The sequence below is a fragment of the Homo sapiens genome, chromosome 2 (genome assembly GCF_000001405.40).
Source record: "Homo sapiens chromosome 2, GRCh38.p14 Primary Assembly".
Classification (NCBI taxonomy): Eukaryota; Metazoa; Chordata; class Mammalia; order Primates; family Hominidae; genus Homo; species Homo sapiens.
The window spans coordinates 51,327,136-51,350,689 of record NC_000002.12 but is presented as its reverse complement, the minus strand read 5'-3'; the positions used below and the strand labels follow the sequence as shown (position 1 = coordinate 51,350,689).

Sequence of the window (23,554 nt, the reverse complement as noted above, 5' to 3'; positions counted from 1 at the left end):
ACTATAATAACAATCAAAATAATGAACATATCCATCACCTACACAAGTTTCTTAGTGCTTCTTGTGATCCTTTCCTCCCCTCTTTTCCCTACCCGATTCCCAGGCAGCCAGTGATTTCCTTTCTTTCACTAGATGATAGTTTGTACTTCCTAGATTTCATGTAAATGAAATCATAAAGTATGATGTTTTTTAGGCTTGCCTCTTTCATGAATCATAGTTATTTTTTGTATATCAACAGTTTATTCCTTTTTATTGCTAAATAGCATTTCATTACATGAGCAGATAACAGTTTATTTATTCATCTGTGGATGAGCCTTTGGTTTGTTTCTTTTTTCAGCTATCATAAAAGGACTATGGATATTTCTGATATAAGCCCTAGTATGTACAAATGCTTTCATTTCTCCTGAGTAAATATCTCCAAGTGGGGTGACGTAAATCATATGATATGTTATGTTTAACTTTTCAGGAAGTTGCCAAGATAATTTCCAAATTAGTTTCAACATTATACATTCACCAGAAATGTATGAGAGTTCCAGCTCTTCCATATCCTGGCCAAATTTGGTATGTACAAACTTTTTATTTTTATTTATTTAATAATTTGTTTTCATACCTCAGTTTTGTATTAATTTGTGTTTCCTTGGGTTTAACGAAGTTGAGTATCTTTTTATGTGTGTATTTGATATTCTAATATTTCCTTTGTTAGCTTCCTGTAAAATCTTTTGCCTGTTTTTAATATTGTATTCTGTTTTGAGAGTTCTTTACCTAGTATTTACAAACTTTTTCACAGATATGTGATTTGCAAATATTTCCTTTTCTTCTATGTCATTCTCATATATTTTATAGAGCAAAAACTCTGTGGCAATACTTTTGGTGTTATAGCTAAGACACTTTTGCCCAGCACAAAATTATAATGGTTGTTTCTTATCTTTCATTTCACTTTGCTTTTCCCAATTTTAAGACCCGTGATCCATTTTCATTCAATTTTTGTATATGCTATGAGAAATGAATTAAAGTTCTTTCTTCTTGCATGTAAATGGTAAATGGCCAATTGGTTCAACATTATTTTTTCAAAAGACTATCACTTCTCCACTGAGATGTTTTTCCATACTTAGGAAAACACTTATCTACAAATATCTATTTCTGAACCCTCTATTTCATTTCATTCATTTGTCTACCTTAATCTTAATTCTGCATTGTTTTGATTACCAGAGGTTTGTAATAATTTTTGATATCAAGTTGTATTAGTCCTCCAACCTCATTCTTTTTCAAAATTGTTCTGGATATTCTGGGTCTTTGCATTTCTATATGAATTTTATAATCAATTGCCTAATTTCTACAAAAAGAGGCTACTGAAATTGTTATTGGGATTTTTTTGAACCTATAAATCAATTAGGAGAGAATTTACATCTTAACAATACTGAATCTTCTGACACATGAACATGACATATCTCTCCATTTGTTCAGGTACACTTTAGCTTATCTAAACAGTGCCTTGTGTTTTCTGGTATTATACGTCTTTTATATATGTTTTCAAGTTTTTCCTAAGTATTCATTTTTTGATGCTAAATAATATTTTTCAAATTTCAAATTTAAAATGTGTGTTCCTTATACAAAGAGATCAAATGGATTGTTGTATATTAATGTATCTGGCAACCTTACTAAACTCGTTTATTAGTCCTAATAGTTTGTTTGTAGATTCTGTTAGATTCCTAAGAAAGCATTCATATTGTCTAAGAATAGACAATTTTACTTCTTTCTTTCTGACGAGGATGCCTGTTATTTCTTTTCCTTACTTGATTGCACTAATTAGAAAGTCCAGTACAATAATGATAGAATTGAGAAAGCAGATATTATTGCCTCATTGCCAGTTTTTAGGATAGGGCAGTCTTTCAACATTAAATATATTAGTTATGGGTTTTCCATAAATGCTCTTTATCAAGTTGAGGAAGTTTCTTTGTATTCCAAGTTTGCCATGAGGTGTGTGTGTGTGCGTTTGTGTGTGTGTGTGTGTGTGTTTAATCAAGAATTGATGTTACATTGATTGATTTCTAATTGTTAAACCAATATCTTATTAAAAAGCATACTTGGGGCCGGGCGCGGTGGCTCACGCCTGTAATCCCAGCACTTTGGGAGGCCGAGGCGGGCAGATCATGAGGGCAAGAGATCGAGACCATCCTGGCTAACACGGTAAAACTCCGTCTCTACTAAAAATGCAAAAAAAAAAAAAAAAAAAATTAGCCGGGCGTGGTGGCAGGCGCCTGTAGTCCCAGCTACTTGGGAGGCTGAGGCAAGATAATGGCGTGAACCTGAGAGGCGGAGCTTGCAGTGAGTCGAGATCGCGCCACTGCACTCCAGCCTGGGCAACAGAGGGAGACTCCGTCTCAAAAAAAAAAAAACAAAAAAACAAGAAAAAGAAAAAAGAAAAAAAAAGCATACTTGGTTATGATGTAGTATCATTTTTATATATTGTTAGATTTGCTAAAATTTTATGTAACATTTTATTTTTATTTTTAGAGAGGGGGCTCTTTCACCCAAGCTAGAATGCAGTGGGGTGATCACAGCTCACTGCAGCCTACAAATCCTGAGCTCAAGCAATCCTCCCACTTCAGCCTCCCAAATAACTAGGACTACAGGCACTTGCCACCATGCCAGGCTAAATTTTTACATTTTTTGTAGACACAGAGTCTCTTCATGATGCCCAGAATAGTCTCAAACTCCTGGCCTCAAGCAATCATCTCTCCTCAACTTCCCAAATTGTTGGCATTATAAGCGTGCACCAGGCCTGCATTCATATTTATAGGATATATTGGTCTGTACTTTTCTTCGTTTGTAACGACTTTTTATAACTTTGATATCAGAGTAACGCTGATATCATACAATAAATTATAAAGTATTCCCTCTTCTTCAATATTCTGGAAAAGTTTGTGTTGAACTGGTATTATTTCCTCCTAAATGTTGCATAGATTTCACCAATAAATACATCTGGCCCTGAAGTTAGATTTCTTCATTTGCCCATAAGGTAATAGAATTTTATTTAGTCTTCCAATATTTGGGGTTTTCTAAGCATCTTCTATTATTAATTTTTAATATAAATCCATTTTGGTCACAGAATATACTTTGAATAACTTGAACTCCTTTAAACTTATTACAACTGGTTTATAGCCCAAAATGTGGTCAATCTGAAGTGTATTCATTAAAAAGTAACATATATTTTATCCTTGTTGAATACAATGTTCTGTGAAGGTCAATAAGGTCAAGTTGCATAATAGTGTTGCTCAAATCTTTATGTTTACTAATGTTCTATTTACTTGTTTCAGCCATTATTGAAAGGTGCTATTTGAACTTCTTAGTGTAAGTTTGGATTTGTCTGTTTCTCCTGAAAGTTCTGTTTTAATTGCATGTATTTTGAAGTTCTGTTATTAGGTACATAAACATTTAGAATTTTTATGTCCTGTTAACAAACTGACCTTTTATCAGGGACATTTTTTTCTCTGTTAATATTTTTTCCTCTAAGATATCTTTTCCTGATCTTACAGGCATGCTAGCTTTCCTTTGATTGGTGTTGGCATGGCATTTGTTCCATCCTTTAATTTTTAATATATTTGACTCTATATTTAAAGTGCATTACTTGTAGCCAGTATAGGCTTGGACTTGTTTATTTTTTTAATCAAATCTGACCATCTCCAAATTCGTTGGAATATTTAGACATTTTCTATTTAATTGATTTATTGGTATTGTTAGGTTTTATTCTATAAGCACACAGTTGTTTCTATTTGTCCCAGCTGTACTTTGTACAGGTTTTTATGTCCTCTTTGGAAAGAAATTGAAAATATTTTATAATTCTGTTTTATCTCCTTTCATAGCTTATTTGCTATAAATCTTTGTTATGTATGTAGTTGCTTTAGCATTTATATATGCATCTTTAACGTTTCAGTCTACTTTCAAGTGATATACCATTTTACATATAACAACTTTACTATAATGTACTTCCATGTCTCCTTTCCACATGTCCATGTTGTTACTGGGATACATTTTACTTTTAAATGTATTTTTAAAAATCCCATATTACATTTTCTTTTTTGCCTGTTTGTTTAAACAGTATATTACCTCTGAAGGCCTTACGCTGGGGCAATCAGAGCTTACCTGATGTGTTTCGTGTCTTGTAGTGACCACTGTCCTTTGTTGTTTCATTTACCTTTTCTTACAAACCACTGAATAGTTATTTTCATTGACTTTTTGGTTGCTTCGGATGAAAGAGCGAAAAGGCTCTCTGTTACTCCGTTCTAGCCAGAAGCTGAGTGGCTGAGGCAATTTTATTCAGCCACAGAGGTTTGGAACCATTGTAATTCAGAGCCATTATTTTTCTCTATGCAACTTCCCCTGCTGATCTTAGCTTTATCTCCTGATACTATATGCAAGGACCTAATCTGTCTTCTGTGTACTAACCTTTAATTTTTAAAATAATATATGTTAGGTCTCAGCTTTTAGATCTTCTACATTTCTCACTTGTATAATTGCTTACATTGGTCCTAGTTTGAAAGTGTTCAAGGTGATCATCTGCATTATATCCTACTTTATAGTAGACTCTTTGGTTATATTCCTCATCTGAAAGATGTATATTTTAGCTGCTGTGCATCTGATATTGTACCAATTTTTGGTATACATTTATTTAAACAATTTTCATAATAATTCTTCAGGTGATTGTTCTGTCTTCCTTTTAGGAATGTACTTTACCTAGTGACATGTAATGGATAATCTAAATGTACATCATTAAAAGAAAATTTCAGTAAATTATAATTTAGCCATATAATGAAATAGTATGCAGGTATTTAAACTGATGACAAAGATTTATTTTTATTGTCAAGCAAAAATATTTACTACCTTTAGTCAAAAATCAATTTGGAGAGCAGAATTTTATGTATACTAAGAGCAAGCAGTATATTTGTTTGATGTAGGTTGTGTTATCTGAGAGAAATAGATGGACATATAACAGTGCTGAACTGCTATCTCTGTATGTGTACCTACACAAATAAGTATCTGAATGATACGCAATATGCATAAAGTTTTACTACAGTTTTTAATCTCTTATTTGATTTTTTAAATCAAACAACAAATAAGAGATTAAAAACTAGTCTTATTTACTATTAATACTTAGTAAATATATTCTATATAACATAATATATATTATACAAATACTTAATAGTAAATATATTATGTATAATATAATATATATTATATATATGCATGTGTGTATATCTGTGTGAAAGTGTGGTTACATAAATACCTATCAATTATATCGACAGGGAAAAACAAATATTGATGCCATTTTTAAGCTGTAATTAAAAGTAAAAACATAAACACTTTCCAGCTTATAACTTAATTCATATTTTAATTTATATTATTAAAATGCCTTTAGTAATAATGGCACCAATAAATTCAAAATTCTATAAGAAAAAATGAGTTTAACTATACTTCTGGCTTTTATCTACTCAGTTCAGCCATATTTTATCTTCAGTATTACAATATAAACCTCAGAGGGTTAGATGATACGGGTTAAGTTTCAATTGCACAGCTGAATATTTTGGGGCTTATCCAACCTGAGCCTTTCAAGACTCATTGAGTATTGGTGTAAGTTGACCCTGTGGCTTGATCGTCTTCCTTCTCAGCAGTATTCAAAGCTAGACTCATGTAGGCAGAATATGAAGGATATCTAGCCAAGTTTTAGGTTTTTACATTTGTTTTGTGTGCCTATTTTAAGTGTTTAAATACTATCTATTTTTATTATAGAAATCACACAAATGTAAGAAATGAATTTAAAAAACAAATTTGGAAAATACATGAAGTTATAAAGCAAATAAATATTATATATAGGCTTACCATCAGAGATAATTATTGTAAAAATTTTTATTTACCTCAGACAGCAAAACTTTGATATTCTTTTTGCTTTTAATCTGCCTTCTTTATTTACTACCTTGTGATATATTTAACCACCATAAAGCACTTGTCTCACCATAAATACATATAGAAGTGGACAACATTTCAGTTTCTTCATCTCCAAAAAGAATATAGGCATAGAAACTAAATGATAAGATGATGGTAAGAATTAAATGCCTGCAAATAGAATTATAAGTTTCAAGAACATAATAAATAAGGTATTAATGCTAGCTACTATTGTTAACCAATATACTGGAATATACTAAGATCTTTCCCACCTCAATCTCTTAGTACATTATTCTTCACATAATTTGGTCTCTCTTATAACTCAAGGGGCTCAATAACACTACTTGAATGAATGAATGAATGTGTGGATTATCATTATTCATTTTCTTAGTAGTAATATAGTAATAATATTAGCATTAGGGTTTATTAATTCAATACTCAAGAATTTTCACGATTTCTTTCTAGATACTTGAAGTCCTCTTATGAAGCATTACTGTTTTCTCAAAAATCTGCCATTAGCATTGGAAGGAATTGTAACTGAGCCCCCATCTTGCCTGTGGTAAAACTCATTTACATCATTTTCCAAAAGACAATTAATGATGAACAGAAAAATATTACATTCAGAAGAATCTGTTTCAAAAGGCTTTAGGCAGGACTTTCAAATCTGAAAACAATTCTCAGACAACATTTTAAAGGGAAAACACTAAACTGTTCATTGCAACACTGCACTACTGACTTTTGCAGACCTTCAACTGATTCAACAACTGGTATTTGACCCAGATATCTTTGTATGATTTGTCTTTACAAAGGCCATAAGTAAGAAAATTCACTATAAAAATGGATCTGCAAGTAATTGTGTTAACTTCTAAAGAATTTGTTGCGGCAATTTATTTAACTTATTTATTTATTTTATACCTGCCTTATTCAAGCAAATATTTCAAGCAACTTCAAGATATAAGCAGAAATGTAGCACAGGATGAAAATACCAGGTGTGAAATACGGAAATCGGAAAAGCACAACAGTGTGGTGGAAGGAGCACTAGATTAAGTACTAATTCTGCTGCCACATCGTTGTTTAATGTTTGAAGAGTCACTTTCACTCCTGGCCCTCTGGTTTTATACATTTTATTTTATTTTATCTTATTTTATTTTATTTTTTATTTTTTTTGAGACGGAGTTTTGCTCTTGTTTCCCAGGCTGGAGTGCAATGGCAAGATCTCAGCTCACTGCAACCTCTGCCTCCCAGGTTCCAGTGATTCTCCTACCTCAGCCTCCCAAGTAGCTGGGTTTACAGGCGCCTGCCACCACACCCGGCTAATTTTTGTATTTTTAGTAGAGACGGGGTTTCACCTTGTTGGCCAGGCTGATCCAGAACTCTTGACCTCAGGTGACCCACCCACTTCGGCCTCCCAAAGTGCTGGGATTATAGGCATGAGCTACCACATCCAGCCTGGCTCTATACATTTTAAAAGGCAGTACTAGGTAGTATAACCTTAGTTGCAACTAACAGTAAAGCTCACTGAAATTAAACAATGTGGGAAATGTAGCTGTTCATATACTTGTAAGTTTCAGACACAGTGTAGCTCCAGGTGAAGTTTTCCAAACAGCTCAGCAATGGCATGAAACAACAGTTTCCTTACTTACCTTACTTATTTCCATAGACTCAGTATCATTTTCTGGTTGCGTGTCTTCACTGGCCCTTAACAGCAAAGGCATTTTTAAACTTCTTTTATTCACACTACATCGTTTAGAATGGAAAGTTTTCCTTTGGATTCTAGACAATTTCTTTGAAATTAGACAATGATTCTAACTGTATTTTTATGGTTAATTGCTTGTCTTGTAGTAAATTAAAGCTAGTCACAGATACTCTGACATTGCTCCTATTGAAAAATGGGGTACCTGTCCTCTCCTCTTGAATCACAAGTAGGAGCTTTGCAACTCCCTTGACCAACAGAATATCCCACAAATGATACTGAGCCAATTTCTTGTCCCCAAAATGAAGATACTGACTGTTTTTATTTCTCATCATTTGGAACAGTCACTCTTGAAACCCAGCTGCCATGCTATGAGTAAGTCCAATTAGCAAAAGTCCCTGATAGAGAGGATTTGAGGCCTGCTGACAGCCTTGACTGAGATTTCAGCCAACACCCAATATCAATTTTGCTAACCGGGTAAGTGAACCATGCTGGAATTGGATCCTTCAGCCCTATCTGAAATGCTTTAGCTGATGCCGTGTGGAACAATGAAAGCCATTCCTTATGAACTTTACTCAAATTGAAGACATGTGAGTAAAATAACTTATGGCTGTTGCTGTAAGCCACTGGGTTTCGGACTGGCTTGTTTTGTAACAAAAGTTCACAAGAAAACCACTCCATCATTAGGACAGATTCAATATTTATTTTTTCCTAATTGTGTATGCTTCTTCCTGATGTGTGATGTAGTAACTTCCCTGAGTAGTGGTGAAATAACATTTTCATCGTTGGCTTCAAAATTTATTGGCATAATGTTTCAAAACATTAGCTTGTTTTATTTTTGATGAAAGAAACCAAGAGATTTATTTTCATGTTCACTGTGTTTGCTTCAAAATGACATTGTACCTTGTCAGGTATCACAGATCTATTGTTCAAATGTGTAGCATGAATCACATTGAAGATTGTATAATTTTTATCAACAGGAAAGTTAAGCTTTAATGGCATGTAATCAGGGTTGCCCCTAGAGTATTCAAGACCCTGGACAAGAACTTTTTGTGGTGTTCCTATCTACATATACAGTTTAAGCCACATAAGTTAACCTTGTCAGAACCATACTGGTGACTCAGTCTTAACATGGTTCCGTCAGAGTGGTACCGTACTACAATTGAGACCTGACTGCAAGGTCTTTGGACAGCCCCAGAGGAATGAATGTGTCCCAGAGCTACCAGGGTAGCTGGCCAACTTTACACACGAGACAAAGGGTTGAAGAGCTCCCCAGGGCCCATGTGGCTCCTAGTCCAAATATAAGGTACCCTATCCAGAAAGTACCACTAGCCTGGCCCTGTCCCAGACACTGAAGGGGAAGGAATTTAGAATACTTCAAAGAAGGTATTCTGAAACATGAAGCCCCCAGAGGCATAGGATCCAAGACAGAAGTCCTGCTTGCCTAGGTCTAAGGGCAGAACTGCATAAAATCTACAGAGCACACATGCTTGCTTTGAGAGACTGTGCAGAAATATGGGATTTATTGTGTTCTTTCATTTTATACAGATTATGTTCTATCAGCACTCGTTGAAGAATTAACAGGTCTTCGTAGTGTCACTTTATACAAATCTTAATTGACCTTACCCCCTCATTATTTTTTAAATCTTGTTCAAGGAAAATTATTTTATTTACCTCGGTGAAATATCCTCTTTTAAAGTAATTCATTGCACATATATTTAAACTTTAAAAATATTTATATAAATATTTGTAGATAATACATATTTAGATAAGAAGCTTCTAAGGCCAGGCGCGGTGACGCATGCTTGTAATCCCAGCACTGTGGGAGGCTGAGACAGGAGAATCACGAGGTCAGGAGTTTGAGACCAGCATGGCCAGATGGTGAAACCCAGTCTCTACTAAAAATACAAAAATTATCCGGGCATGGTGGCACGCACCTGTAATCCCAGCTACGTGGGAGGCTGAGGCAGGAGAATTGCTTAAACCCGGGAGGCAGAGCTTGCAGTGAGACAAGATCTTGCCACTGCACTCCAGCCTGGGCAACAGAGCGAGACTCTGTCACACACACACACACACACACACACACACACACACACACACACACACAAAAGCATGTAAAGCATCTAAATAAAAAGCCCCAAACGTTCTATAATATCACCTTATCACAACACAACGCAGCCTTGTTATTGTACAACCCACACTGATGAGTATTCTATTCATCAAAGTGCAGTGGCAGATATGCATTAATCTTGCCTGGCATCAACTGAGCCTGGAACCAAAGCCTGGAGTCATGTCCCCATTTGTATAGGTTACGACACAGATTCTCGTTCTAGATTTTTAAAAAATCAGTACAGTGCTCATCTTTGACCATGTACAAATTATTTAAAAGTGTGAGAGTTGTGAAAGCACATTCAGGGATTATTTTAACAGAAGAAAACATTCTAGAATAATTAATTCATGTTTATTATTCAAATATATTAATATTTGTTAAATGTATATGAGGGAAAATGTTCATTAACATTAAAAATAATGACAAATATATTTTTAAAAAGTGGTAAATTAAAAAAAGATAAATTCTAACTAATTTGCAGATTGATGTACCTTCCTACACACTTCATAACATGAATTATTCTGCAAAACATTGTATATCAGATCCTATCTCTCTATGATGTCTATTTTTCTCCCTTTGATATATGGAAGGGCACTGGCATGAACAATTCACTGCTTAGCCTAATGTTTTCACTTGCTGTTCGTGAAGAGGGAGCACTAATAGCACCACAAAATATTCAGAGAGAAAACTCTGCAAACTATAAAAATAGTTATAATGTCAAGAGTCCTAATTTCTTTTCTAAGTTTCATTACAAATATTGATGAACATTCTCAATTCTAGAAATATTTGTACCTGAGTAAAATGTTGACTTCAATAGCATTCTGATTGTGATTTACAGCAGTTAATACAAATTATCCTATTTAGATGTTTAAGAGGCTTTTCTCATTTCCTTCATCAGGTTCAATCATAAATGGCTTAATCATTCAGAAGACATTACTGAATTAGATTGCATTAACCGCATAATAACAGAAAAAAAGAGCAATATGGAAACCAGCCGAAATGCTATTAGGAAGGAACTAAGTTCATTCCCTGTAATGCCTTTGTTGATTTGTTGAAATTGTTGATGTGACCTCAATCACAATTTCTGTTCTACTTTGTTCATCAGTTTCTTTTCACTTTAGTAAACATGCATTTATATTTTTGAAACAGAAATCTAAATGTTATACACATGGACAGGGTTTCTAGACTACTATATGAGTTTAGAACTTAGGGCAGGTTCAAATATTAATATAAAGAATCATAAAACAAATATGAGGTTATACACTAGGCATAGAAATTTTATCATTGTCTTCCTACAAGCCATACATAAGAAGGTGCTATTTTATAATAAAAGGAATAACCAATTGATAAACATTAATGAGATACAGGAAGTGAAAATCTACAAGGATGGTTAAGATTAGACAAAAGACAAAATATTCATTATCATTTATTTGAAAGTTTTTGCAAGAAAGAATGATGGGCAAGTGCTAGACTGTACTGTATATGTCCAGAGTTTTAAAGCAGAATATAAACTTTAAAAATCACCGATTCAGTTGCTTATTCCTTATACATGTGTCTTCAATCCTTAAGTGACTTACTCAAAATCACTTGTTTCTAGTAGAGTCAAACCCATCATCTCAGTAGACTTTGCTGGAACCAATGTTATTTGCACCTCTCTTTGCTTCTCTTTCCTTCTAAAATGAATGAATGCCTTACACTTAAATCATTTTTATCTTATCTGAAGTTATTTTAACATCTATTATTTGATGCTTACAGGTAACCCCATGACTCTCATTTCCCTCAGCTTATTCTCCAATATCAATTCATACTATGTCCCCTCTCCACTAAAATCCTTCATCTAAGCTAAATTCTGTAATTTCTCATACTCATCATAGTCTCTCTCATCTCTCTTGTCTCCATAGAAGGTTTTTGCAAATGTTTCTCCTGCTTGGGAAACCTGTTTCCTTCCTTTTGGCTCATTCACCTTTTAGACTTTTAGTATCTTAAAAACAAAGGAGTAGAATTTTTCTTGATCAAATTGCTTCCCATTCTGGGGTTAGAAAAATCTGAAGTGTGCTGTGGATCCCTTAGTTTGAGAAATTTTATAGCTATTGGCACAGGCCTGCCTTTTGTCTTTCACCTTTTAATATATTATTAATGAGTAATGACAGCAGAATATCAACCAATAAAAAAGTACATGATTATAGATTATGATGAGTACCATGAATGTAACAAACAAGTTGGTGGGTCAGAACGAACTAGGAAGTCATTGTATTTGCACAGGCAAAAAAGGCATCACTAAGGATATGAAATTTGAGTTGAGATCTAAATTTTGTGAACTATCCAGCCATGGAAAGGACTAAAGGAAGAGCATTTTAGAGGAAGGGAGAAACAAGGGCACAAGCCCTTAGGAGAAAAGGAACTTGATAAATTTGAAATGCAGAAAGACATCCAGAGAGGCTGTAAGACAGTGCATGGGACAGTAGTAGATGGCAGGTTTGGTAAAGTAAGGGGGTATCACATCACACAGGTCATTAGGCAGGGTGAAGAACGGTCATTTTGTTGTGAGCACCAAGTGATGTGAGTGATATATTTTAAATTGCAGGGGAACAATCTGCTTTACATTCTTTTCTTATTCAAATGAAGAAATAGATTAGAAATTTAATGATTAATAGGCTTGGATGGAGACAAAGAGTAACAGTAAAATGTGTAACACATATTGAAAGCTTATCATATGCTAGGGATTTTAGCAAATTGCATAATTTAGAATCCCTACAGGGTCTTATGAGGCAGATATTATCATTTACTTTTAGCAAATGGAGAAATGACTCTCAGAGATGTGAAGTAACATTCCCAAGATCACACATGACTTCAGCTGAATGGAGTCATGTCAGGATTTGACTTAGATTTCAAGGACTTCATACTTCTCATTATACCATACAGTTTCCATGGATCAAAGATCTCTACTGTTAAGGTATTCATTTTGTTTCTCCACCAGAAAATATTCTTGGATTATTTAAAAGATATGATAGAAAATTATGCAGAAAATTGGCAGAACTAATGCTATTTATGATGAGTTCTCTTACCGTAGAAACATAAATTCTGGCCTATGATTTCAACTACTGTATTACAGTTATTAACCTATTAAAATAGGCCTGCTTTATGTACATAATACTTGTCTAGTAGCATTATCACATTTTATTACGAATGTTACCATGACATAATAAACTGTATCAAGTAAAACCTGCAAATGAAGAGAGACAAAGCCTGACTTAGTTCCCTTTGGAATAAAGTAGACTGTCTTACTTCATTGGATTTTTGTTTTTTCTATATAAAAGAGTAGTTTACTGGGAAAGGGGCAGAAAAAAAAACTATGTAATTTAATAATCGAGAAGATTTTCCTCAATATATTTACACTAATATTACCTCATTGCTTCCTCTAGTCCTGCATTGAATGTTACTCCATGGAAAACAACGTTTCTCCATTTTCTCTTGCACGTCCTCCCCTAATTTTATGATCTTTACTTCTTCCCTTCATTCCCTTATTCCTCTTTTCCTCCATTTTTCCCTTTCTCTTTTCCTTCTCCATTTCTCCTTAGTTCTTTCCTTCCCATACATCTTAAATTTGAGCTTCTTAAGATCAAGGACTTTTATCCAATTGTGCAACATGCAATGCCTAGCATAGTGCAAAAAATAGGAATTCAATAACTGCTTGTTCATGGCTTTGGGAAAAACATTATCTTCTTGTTCAACATAAACCTTTTCCTTCTAATGTCTCCACAGACCAGCGCAAATACTGACATTTTCTGCTTCTTCTGCTACTTCCTTCTACATATTCCAGGATCTCTTCAATCTGTGCATCATTCTATACCATGTCATTATGATATACATTCGCACACTTAGCACTGCCTGACTAAGCTTTTCCTCCTCTTCTTCACTGTCTCTTTTTCTCTTTCCCTTTCCTTTTATCTTATAAGCTCTAATACCTCTCTTTATGGGTAATAAAGATGGAAGAAAAATTCTCCATCCTATATTTTGTAATTTGAAAATTTAGGTTGTCATAGCAATGTGATAAAATTTTTAAAATAGAAAAGATTTTCCTTATCCACAGCAGAATTTTTTCTGTTTACACATACATAGAAGTATTTAAATGGAAAAATTTTATGAAAAATCAGTTTGTATGCAGAACTTTAAAAATCCACAGTACACATAAAGAAAAGGAACTTAAAATACCAAAGTTCAAAATTTAATTAAAGAAAGTTAAATTCAGCTGTTTGTATTTTAACAACTAATAGTCAATATGTTTTTTATTCAGTCATTTATTTAAATCTAGCATTATTGTATATATGAATTGGATTCAGGAGCATCATAGAAACAGACTTTGAAGTAAATTAGGCTTTAAATCCAATTGTTTAATTCTCTCAAATAACAGATTTAAAAAAACTGTTACTTCAGGAAATTGTATAACTTCCATTATTTTATTTTCAGACATAGTGCCATCCTACAAGAATCTCCACGTCAGCCACTGTACTTGTTGATTTATATTATCTCAAATTTTTAAAATCCCCCAAAGTAAGAACATTTTTCCCTAATATGTTAGGCAACTGAGGCCCAGAGGAAATGAGACATTTGAAAAATGTCTTTCCACTAGGACTTGATGGAGCTGGATTCAAAACCAGCAAATGTGTCACAGTCTGAATGTCTCCAAAGTTACCACTCTTCCCATTACTCTGCCTCTCCAAAGAGATCAATTTGTAATGTTTGTGGTGAGAAAACAACTTATTTTAGAAGAATACACTAACTGTGTAGTGCAGAAATAAATCCGTAGACGAATTAAACCTGGTTAGATTAATAAATCCTGGAGCCACTAGGAAGACTTTCCCAGGGAACAAATTTTGGAACAGATATTAAGTAGATTTTTTTCTTGTTATTTCCGATTTTGATGGACACAATTGTAAGACAGACCTTCACCTGATAGCTGGTGCACTTTGCTTTGAGGAGCATCTTTAAATGTCTTCAAAAAATTATTATTTTTACAAAACACCTCTAATCAATATTTACTTGGTAAATTACACACTTTCTTATCTTGGTGGCGCTAGTGAGTAATTCAATTGGCATCCAGTCTCCACAGTTTTGCCACTAGCTGAGATCCAAGACTTTGTATCTGCTAAGACACCTGGTAAGGTTAATTCTGATTCTGTAATTGAACTAAATAGTCTATGCCACTGTAGTAAGAAAAGACCTTTGAAACAGCTCACACTTATCATGATTCAATTCAACACATAATTTACTTCCAAAAAGCCCTCCTGCTAAATTTAGTATAGCCTAACTACTACGTGATATTTTCCAGAAATGTGGATTCAAGATAAAGTGTTTAGTTTCTTAGGGCTGATGCACCTGTATCTCTGTACTCAAAAGTGTTTGATTCTCTAGGATTTGTTTCCTCTTCTTCATTTCATCTAACCCAGGTTTAGTTTATACTCTCAATAGCTCTTACTTAGACAATTGAATTTATTACCTAAATTATCTCTCTTTCTTCAATCACTAAGTGTCAATGTAACTCTTTCTACAACAGTCAATGATAATTTTTCTAAAACATAAGAAACATGTGCAAAAAAAAGAACTGTTGCCATGGTCAACAAATCAAAGTTAAAAATTGACTTCCAGACTTCACTTTCTAGTAAAACGATGAACTAGGTACAAAGGTAGACTCTCTTTCTTGCTTGCTTTCATTTTTTTTTTTTTTTAAGTCGGAGATTCACTCTTGTTGCCCAGGCTGGAGTGCAGCAGCATGATCTCGGCTTACTGCAACCTCCACCTCCGAAGTTCAAGTGCTTCTCCTGTCTCAGCCTCCCAAGTAGCTGGGATTACAGGGGCATGCCACCATACCCGGCTAATTTTTGTTTTTTTAGTAGAGACGGGGTTTCATCATATTGGTCAGGCTGGTCTTGAACTCCTGATGTCAGGTGATCAGCCTGTCTCGGCCTCCCAAAGTGCCGGGATTACAGGTATCAGCCACCGCACCCAGCCAACTCTCTTTCTTTGAAAACAACTAAAATTCCTGGGAAAAATATTTTAAATATTTTTCATTTCAAATCTATCAATGAACTAAGAAAGTAAGGCATGCTGATGCTATAACTAAACAAAGATATAAACCCACATAGATAAGCAGGACATAAAAGCATATTTACTATTGAAAGCATTTGCTGAATCAGGTTAAATAACCTGAAAGTAACAGAAGGCAACAGACAAAATTCAAGATATAGCCAAAATAGAAACTCCAGGAGGAAACCACCATTCAGGAGATCAGTAATCTAAATATGAACCAGAAATAAATCATCACTACTTTCTCACTCCTCCCACAAGGGACACAAGGAACATGGCCTATTTAGGAATTTAACATTGAGAATTAGGAAGAAGAAATGATCTCCTTATAATTTCCTTGACATATGTGGCCACAGCCTAAAGCTCAAACAAGTAGTTACTTCATTAGCTTCTTAATTTCAATATTTTAGCAAATGTATTAAAGGTTATTGTATCTTTTCATTGCAATCAACAACATATTTTAACATTTAAATTAAACAACTAGTCACATAAATTAAGTAGTGGACATCTATTGATTAGCTTAATTATTTTTCATTTTCCATTATTTTGGCCTTACCACTGGTTTATTTATTTATTTATTTTAAAAAATAATTTCTCTCCTATTTGTAATCCCTGTGTTTAGAATGTGACTTCTTTTATGTAACCAATCACTCCTATCCCAACTGCAGTTCCAGATCTGGGTAGTCAGAAAATTCATCAATAAGCCTTTTAAATGTGTCAGAACTTAAATGGATAGTCTTTCAGATAGAAGTAAAAGAGAAAGAGAGAGAAACAGAGACAAATTTTGCTGCTAGATAAAGAAATATTCTCTTACTCTAATTTTTATTTGTTAAATGTCAAAAATAAAGCCACAATTACTTAAAAATGTATTCTTGGTTTTATTGCAAGTACCCAAAAAGATAGGAAGTCCTGATATTTTTCCCCTGGGAGTGAGAAAGGGGAAAGATCAAGACAGTCTAAGACTAAGATTTGATATTCTTCCTATTTATATATTTCAAGGTTATGTGGTAATGTCTCTGATAATATTCCAGCTAAAATCTGGTTTTATTCTAAGCCAGTTGATTGGTTGGCAATAACAACTTGTTCAGATAAAAGATAAAAAGTGGTCTATAAAATTTTCTGTAACTATGGCTATAGCTCAATTTATAGTCTATGTTTCCACAGCATCACAGCTGTGGAATCCTAACACAACTGTAGCCTTAACTTTCTCTAGGAATGATCTTACATCCATGGATGTGACTGTCTGAGCAAGTGGAAGAAGCCATGGTATAACACAGATTAAATTATCTCAGTGATGATGGTAATCATTTCCAAAAGAAGGTAGTGGTCCTCTTCCCTGAACTGTAAGGTAAATATACGTTTCTTTTCTTTTCTTCTTTAAGCGAAGCAGCTTGGGACCACAGGTGCATGCCACCATGCCCTGCTAATGTTATTATTTTTGTATTTTTTGTGGTGACAGAATCGCTCTGTGTTGTCCACACTAGTCTCAAACTCCTGGCCTCAAGCTATCCTTCCAGCTCATTCTCCCAAAGTGCTGGCATTACAGGTGTGTGCCACTGCACCCAGCCCTGTACTCTTAATATTGTTTCCCTTCTTAATGCACTGATTGGTATTTTCATCCTTTAATTAATTTTAGAAAACTGGTGCCTATTGGAGTACTTGGAATATGTTTTGACTGTGTCAATTGCAAAAACTCTTCCAATTTAGGCTTACCATTACTATAAATAATCAACACAGGTTTCACTTGTAGAATTTTCATTATGTGAAAAACGTTGTGATAAGCGATTTAAATATTCGCATAGGCATCCCCAAATCCTATGAGGTAAACCCCACAATCATCATAACTTTATTTTTTCCTATGTACTTGATACACGACGTTTACATAGTGAATGAGCAATATATAGAAAATAGTGATGTAAAAACTTTACTCCGCAAGTTCATGAACTCCTTAACTTCTTTCAACAGAACTGTGATTTCATGCACTCCAAGTTGAGAACCCCTGCAGGATCCTGAGTTGACTAAATCCTAATCAGTACGGCAGTCAAAGATTCCGTAGTGCCTGGCCATTGTATGGAAAGATCAGTCTTCTCAAGGTTATTAAAATCTCCCATAATATATTCACTGTGTACTTACATGAATACAATGATGTCAACTAAAATACAATTTATTTCAAATTTTTAATTTTGTGTTGTCTATTAAGTATGCTTACATTTTTATGTCAACATGGTTTCACTTTTTATGTTAGAAAATGCTAAGCAATAAATGCTACAGCTGAATGTTGAAAGGTATTAGTGTTGCTTGAAGCTCACCAAATAAACACCCAGATACTCCACGGGTATAGCCCAGTCCTGACCTTCAGTGGATAGGAAACTATTCAGTGAAATGTAATGCACAGTACTGGATTATGGTCAGTGGAATTTTTCAAAATAAATTATCCATATCTGTATTACTTGATTCGGCTTGACTCCTCTTTTAACTAAAGTATGTTTTAACTGTTTTTTTTCTTTTTTCTTTTTTTTTTTTTTGAGACAGAGACTCCCTCTGTCGCACAGGCTGGAATGGAGTGCAGTGGCACGATCGCGGCTCACTGCAAGCTCCGCCTCCGGGGTTCACACCATTCTCCTGCCTCAGCCTCCCAAGTAGCTGGGACTACAGGAGCCCGCCACTACACCCGGCTAATTTTTTGTATTTTTAGTGGAGACGGGGTTTCACCGGGTTAGCCAGGATGGTCTCGATCTCCCGACCTCGTCATCTGCCCGCCTCAGCCTCCCAAAGTGCTGGGATTACAGGCGTGAGCCACCACGCCCGGCCCAACTATTTTTTATTAATTACTGGCAAACTCCTATTTTCCAGCCACTTCTGTTATTCTTATAAAACACTTTTACACTATTTACAAATGTGCATTAATACAAAATTATTGGTTTATGCGATTTCTCAAAAAAATTTCATCATGTACCTCAAAGCTTAAGGTAGTTGGAGGTTCAAGTTCCAATTAGAACTTAGTGCAAATCCCTTCTGCAGATACAAGTATAGTAAAATAATTATTGCCTGGGAATTTCAGAAACCTTTTATAGCTCCTGCTATTGTCTTCTTGCCAAAATGAACTATCTGCTCATTTATTCTAAATTAGAATTGTGCAGTTAACAAAGATCAAGAAGATTAAAAACATGGTGTGAAGCCAGTTTAGCATAACATTTAGTATTTCCTTTTGTAAGTACTGCTCTCCTGTGCTTAGTTAAGTATTATTTAAGATACTATTGGATCTTTATAGAATGTTCCCATGATTAAAATTTAATTTTGACACTACAACATGTACAAAGTTCTGTCAAGTATTATTAATGATTAAACAATGAGGAAATATGTTATTACAGTGTGTTCAATCTTTAATGTCCATTAAATCCACTTGGTAAGTGTAAGTGGAAATGATACTAACTACAATTCTCATTCTCTAGTCCTTTACACATTATAAAGAAATGAGGATCTTACAATACCAATCAATAAGTGATGAAAAGAAACTGTGCGTGGTGGCTGAAATTTGAATGGGCCTTTCACAGAAATCTTATTATTCTCCTACTAGGGACAGTGCAGAACAGACATTCCACTTCCCGCTTTGTAAGCAAATGCCTAGGCGTGTAGCACTGTGATTATATTTCTATCTTCGGCCTTAGATCATCTTCAGCATCAGAGAGTTCTGAAAATCCCATTAAGAAGTCATTTCAAGGAAACATAAATGTTCTTTGAAATAATCTTCAATGCTTTTCTAATTTTTTATATTAATGTCTCCTGCAACCCTCTTCCCAGAATGGGTAATAAATCCTCTTATATTTATGCACAGAGAGATATGTATATACAGTTTATTTACTTCCTGTTTTAATTGCTGTCCTAACTAAATACAACACATGTAATGCAAATGTTTGCCAAACTTTGTATGGGTTGTACTTAACATGTATAACACTGGCATTTTAGCTGAACTGATCGTGACAAAGCATTCCTGAATAAAAATTACTTTTTTAGAAAGGAAACAGTTCTGTTGCAAAATCAAGTTTTTACTTTTTCTTATGGTTTTGTAGCCTAACGAAAAATGAATACATGATGAAATGTATCCCAATTTCCTTCCACTTTTAATTGATCTTCATAGGCTTGAGGGAATTTGTCTTTATATTCATCTCCCAGGGAGAATTTCCACCAAATTATTTGAGTGAGTTATCATCATTCAACTTTGCCTGGCTAAAAGCCCTAAAATAGGGACAAAAATTACATTAAATATCTCATTTTCTATTTTAGGGTGCTGTGAATCAGCAGAAGGTTCAAGCTAACATACTGATTGTAAGCATAATGTAGGCAACAGATAGTGAAGGCCTTTATTATCTTCTGATAAGTTTGTTTTGAGAATCATTTTTCTCTTATATGCTTATTTTTGTTTCAATTGTGGAGACCCATGATTTACAACCATAATCTTCCCAACTAAATTTCAAATTATTGCATGTCAAAAAGTATTGGCATTTGACCATTTATTAAATTAGTCCTGATAGTCTGACATGATTAAAAGCACAATCATTCTACTCAAATTACAAGAAGTCTCAATCATTTGAGGTTCCTGCCCTCTCCTAATAATACTCTTTCTTCTGATAACAGATTCACTCAACATGCCCACTTTCCCCATGCTCCAGGAAAATAAAATAGAGTACTACCAGGGCTATCCAACAGGGTCCTTCCTGCTCCCTGGCCATAGATGATCAAGGAGAGGCAACTGCCCTGGGCTAGTTGGAAATTCCTTCCAAGGAATTTAGAAGTGAGAAAGAGAAAGACTGTAATTCCATCAGGACTGTTTGTTTGGACTTAGGTGGATGCAAACCTGAGAAGTGAAGGTGGAGAGTAGCTGCTTTATATATGGAAAAATAGAAAAAGCCAGTCTATGGAGAGAAGGAATAGCTGTACAGAGAAGGCAGAGAAGACAGAGCAAGAGCATGAGACCAGGGGACCTTGGCTAGTCTTCCTACAGCTTTCCAGTTCTCAGTTTTACTTACCTAAGAAAAGAGATGATTTTGAAATTTCTTGGATTTTTTTGTATTAAGGTGACATCATCAAGTTTCACAACTTTGTAGCCATCTATAATTATTCTTAAGGCCAAGGTCAGATGGCACATTTTTGTTTAACTTTGAAGTACACAAGAGAGACGTCATAAGTCTAAACCCTGTAACTCTTCTTCCAGGTTTAGGAAACATACTTCAGGCTTATTTTTACTGGTGTTTGTTGCATATGCTACATGGCTTGGTTTCCTAGGTAACAGTGTGTGTAGACTTAGTTGTAAATTTTCTCTTTCCTTGAACTCATACTTAGGGGTGGGGGGGGGAGTTCTAAAAAACATATGAATTTCAGAATCAAATTTTCCTCTTATCCTTCACTACCTCTTGCCACCTGCCTCCTCACACAATCTGTATCTGTCGACTTTTAAGCAGGATTTGCTGCCTTCCAATTTTCCCACAAGCCTTTGGGTGCTTATTTCTAGCTTTATGACACTCCCAGCTTATGCTACCTAATGAGTCATAGAAATGATTTTTAAATGTATGTATAATGTAAAAGAATAATTATGAACCATTCAAGGAACAGTCATTGAACACCAAACACTTTGCTAAATGCATTATATGCATTATTTCATTTGATACATATGACAATAATGGGCATTAAGAATTATTAGCATTTCTTATAGGTAGGGAGGAAACAAGTTTCATGAAGTTAAGTGGCTTAATCAGAGCCAAAAGCTAATACATTAATGAGATAAAGACTTGAATTCATTTCTGTGAATGCCAGACTCATGCCCTGAGTTATTACCCTACACCAGGTAACCTAATGCCGTCGTTTTAGGTTTTATCTTTGTATCAAGGCATATGCAAAAGCAGGATGAGAATCAGGCTCCTTCTGTTTAGGGCCACAGGGCATGCATGGTAGAGCTATATATTGATAAATAGGGAGAAATTTGACTCATAGCTTTTGTCATCATGTATTTATGTTTTAAGGGAAGGGAGAGTATTGCATATCTTCTGTCTCACCCATTACATAATGTCTTTCTAGTGGCAAGCTTTCAATAACAAGTTGACTGATTAATACTTGAAACAATGGATGCAGCTTGCACTGCCATTGCCAGGGCAACTGCTCTAAATTGTAGTTTCTCCTTTTACCCCCCTAATATATTTTAAAGCCTCTATTAATAATATTTCTCTTTTATTTTTCAAATTTTCTGTATGTAGCCAGAAAGATCCTTGAATGTGCATCTAATAAAAAAAAAAAGAAAACTAAGTATATGCTAGAAAAGCTGGGATTGCAAATCCTTTCTCAGATATTTCAATTCACAATAATTTTCCCCAATTCCTACCTTTTGTAGCACTTTTTCTGTCATCATGCCACTGATGAACCTTCTGAGAATATTAGGGATAGATGAAATCCTGCCTTGTGTGATTATTTTTGGAGTAGCCACTGAAAGTCAAAAAGATAGCGAAGCTCAGCTAATGATCCATGTCACATACAACTGAGAACTGCAAAGCAAGAATTACAAATAAGGCTTTCCAATCCCAAGTCTAGTGACAGGTCCACTACATCTCCCATAGCCATTATGGTATTTAATACTTCGGTCATCTCTATTAGCTATGATTTTGGTTACAAACAAAATAAACCAACATTGGATTATTCAAAGAGGATGAAAACTATTTGAAAGGGATGCCAAATTGAAAAAAAAATGGTGGAAAGTTGAAGAGTCAAAATGCAAAAATTGGTGGAAAGTTGACACCCAGAATAACTGCCAAAGTCCTGTCGCCATTCAAGACCACATCAGAGTTATGGAAACAACCATGGCCACAGGGTCACTGGTGACACTCCTGCTTCCAGAGAAGTTACAGTCTTTCCTTTCACTGCATCTGCTACTGCTCCTAGAATGGTTTCCAGACTGGCCCCTGCTTATTTACATAAACCACTCCAGATTCAAAGCCCCAGCAAAGAGTAGCCCAAGGTGAGGTTAGGTCAGAAGCCCACACAGAGCTACCAAACACCTACCTAGACAACAACAAATATGTCCCTCTCCTCAGTTTTCACTGTGGAAGGTAAAACCCTGTCTGTCTTCCTTGAAATTTTCCCAAATAGAAGGCGTTCAGAGATTGTGCAGCTGCAAGTAAGAAATATCCACTAAACATTCTAAAAGTGTTTACTGCATTGTCAAATAAAAAAATGCATAGGACAAGAGAAACAGTCAAGGAATACTTTATTCAAGACTATAAAAATAAGGGAAAGAGATTGAACTCAACTTCGCTGAAACAAAAGGCAGGAGAATTTTTAAGCACTGGGATGAGGCAGTTGCAAAGTACTGGAGAAAGTTAGCAGGGAAGTTGGTTAGTGAGATGAGGCCTTCTACGGCCTAATCTGTTTGCTAATTGATGTTTATCAAAGTTAGGTTCCTACCTTCTCACATAGACTGGGAGATGGGGCTCTGTCTTTCCTCTTAATAAATACATTTCAAATGTTGGATCCCAGGTCCTCAAGAAAGATATTCCTGTGTTGTAAAACTGGCAAGAAGCTAGAAGAAGATTTACATCTCAAAAGGACAGAGAGACAATTTAGGACTGCAATTTTTCTAAAGTAAATGCTCAGATGCTCTGAGGAAAGGAAGGCCTGGGGCCTTTAGTCAGGAAGAAATCTGTCTAAATTTAGCCAAGCCGAGGCCACCTTGGTCACGGATA

At 34.8% G+C, this 23,554-nt stretch overlaps 2 long non-coding RNA genes across 3 annotated transcripts in view; one reads left to right on the top strand and one right to left on the bottom strand.

The window, feature by feature from the left end:
• Positions 1-23,554, bottom strand: part of NRXN1-DT (NRXN1 divergent transcript) — a 1,375,317-nt gene that overhangs the window by 1,057,228 nt on the left and 294,535 nt on the right. Inside the window, exon 3 of the long non-coding RNA NR_135237.1 lies at positions 22,201-22,301. This is a non-coding gene — a long non-coding RNA (NRXN1 divergent transcript). The remainder of the gene's footprint in view (positions 1-22,200; positions 22,302-23,554) is intronic.
• LOC105377627 (uncharacterized) lies at positions 493-19,849 on the top strand. 2 transcript variants are annotated; one of them, XR_001739090.2, is made up of 3 exons: positions 493-561; positions 17,041-17,175; positions 17,793-19,849. It is a non-coding gene; the product is annotated as an uncharacterized LOC105377627 (long non-coding RNA). The 2 variants fall into 2 exon arrangements; XR_940082.3 differs by lacking the exon at positions 493-561 and adding an exon at positions 8,040-8,110 and having other exon boundaries at positions 17,025-17,175.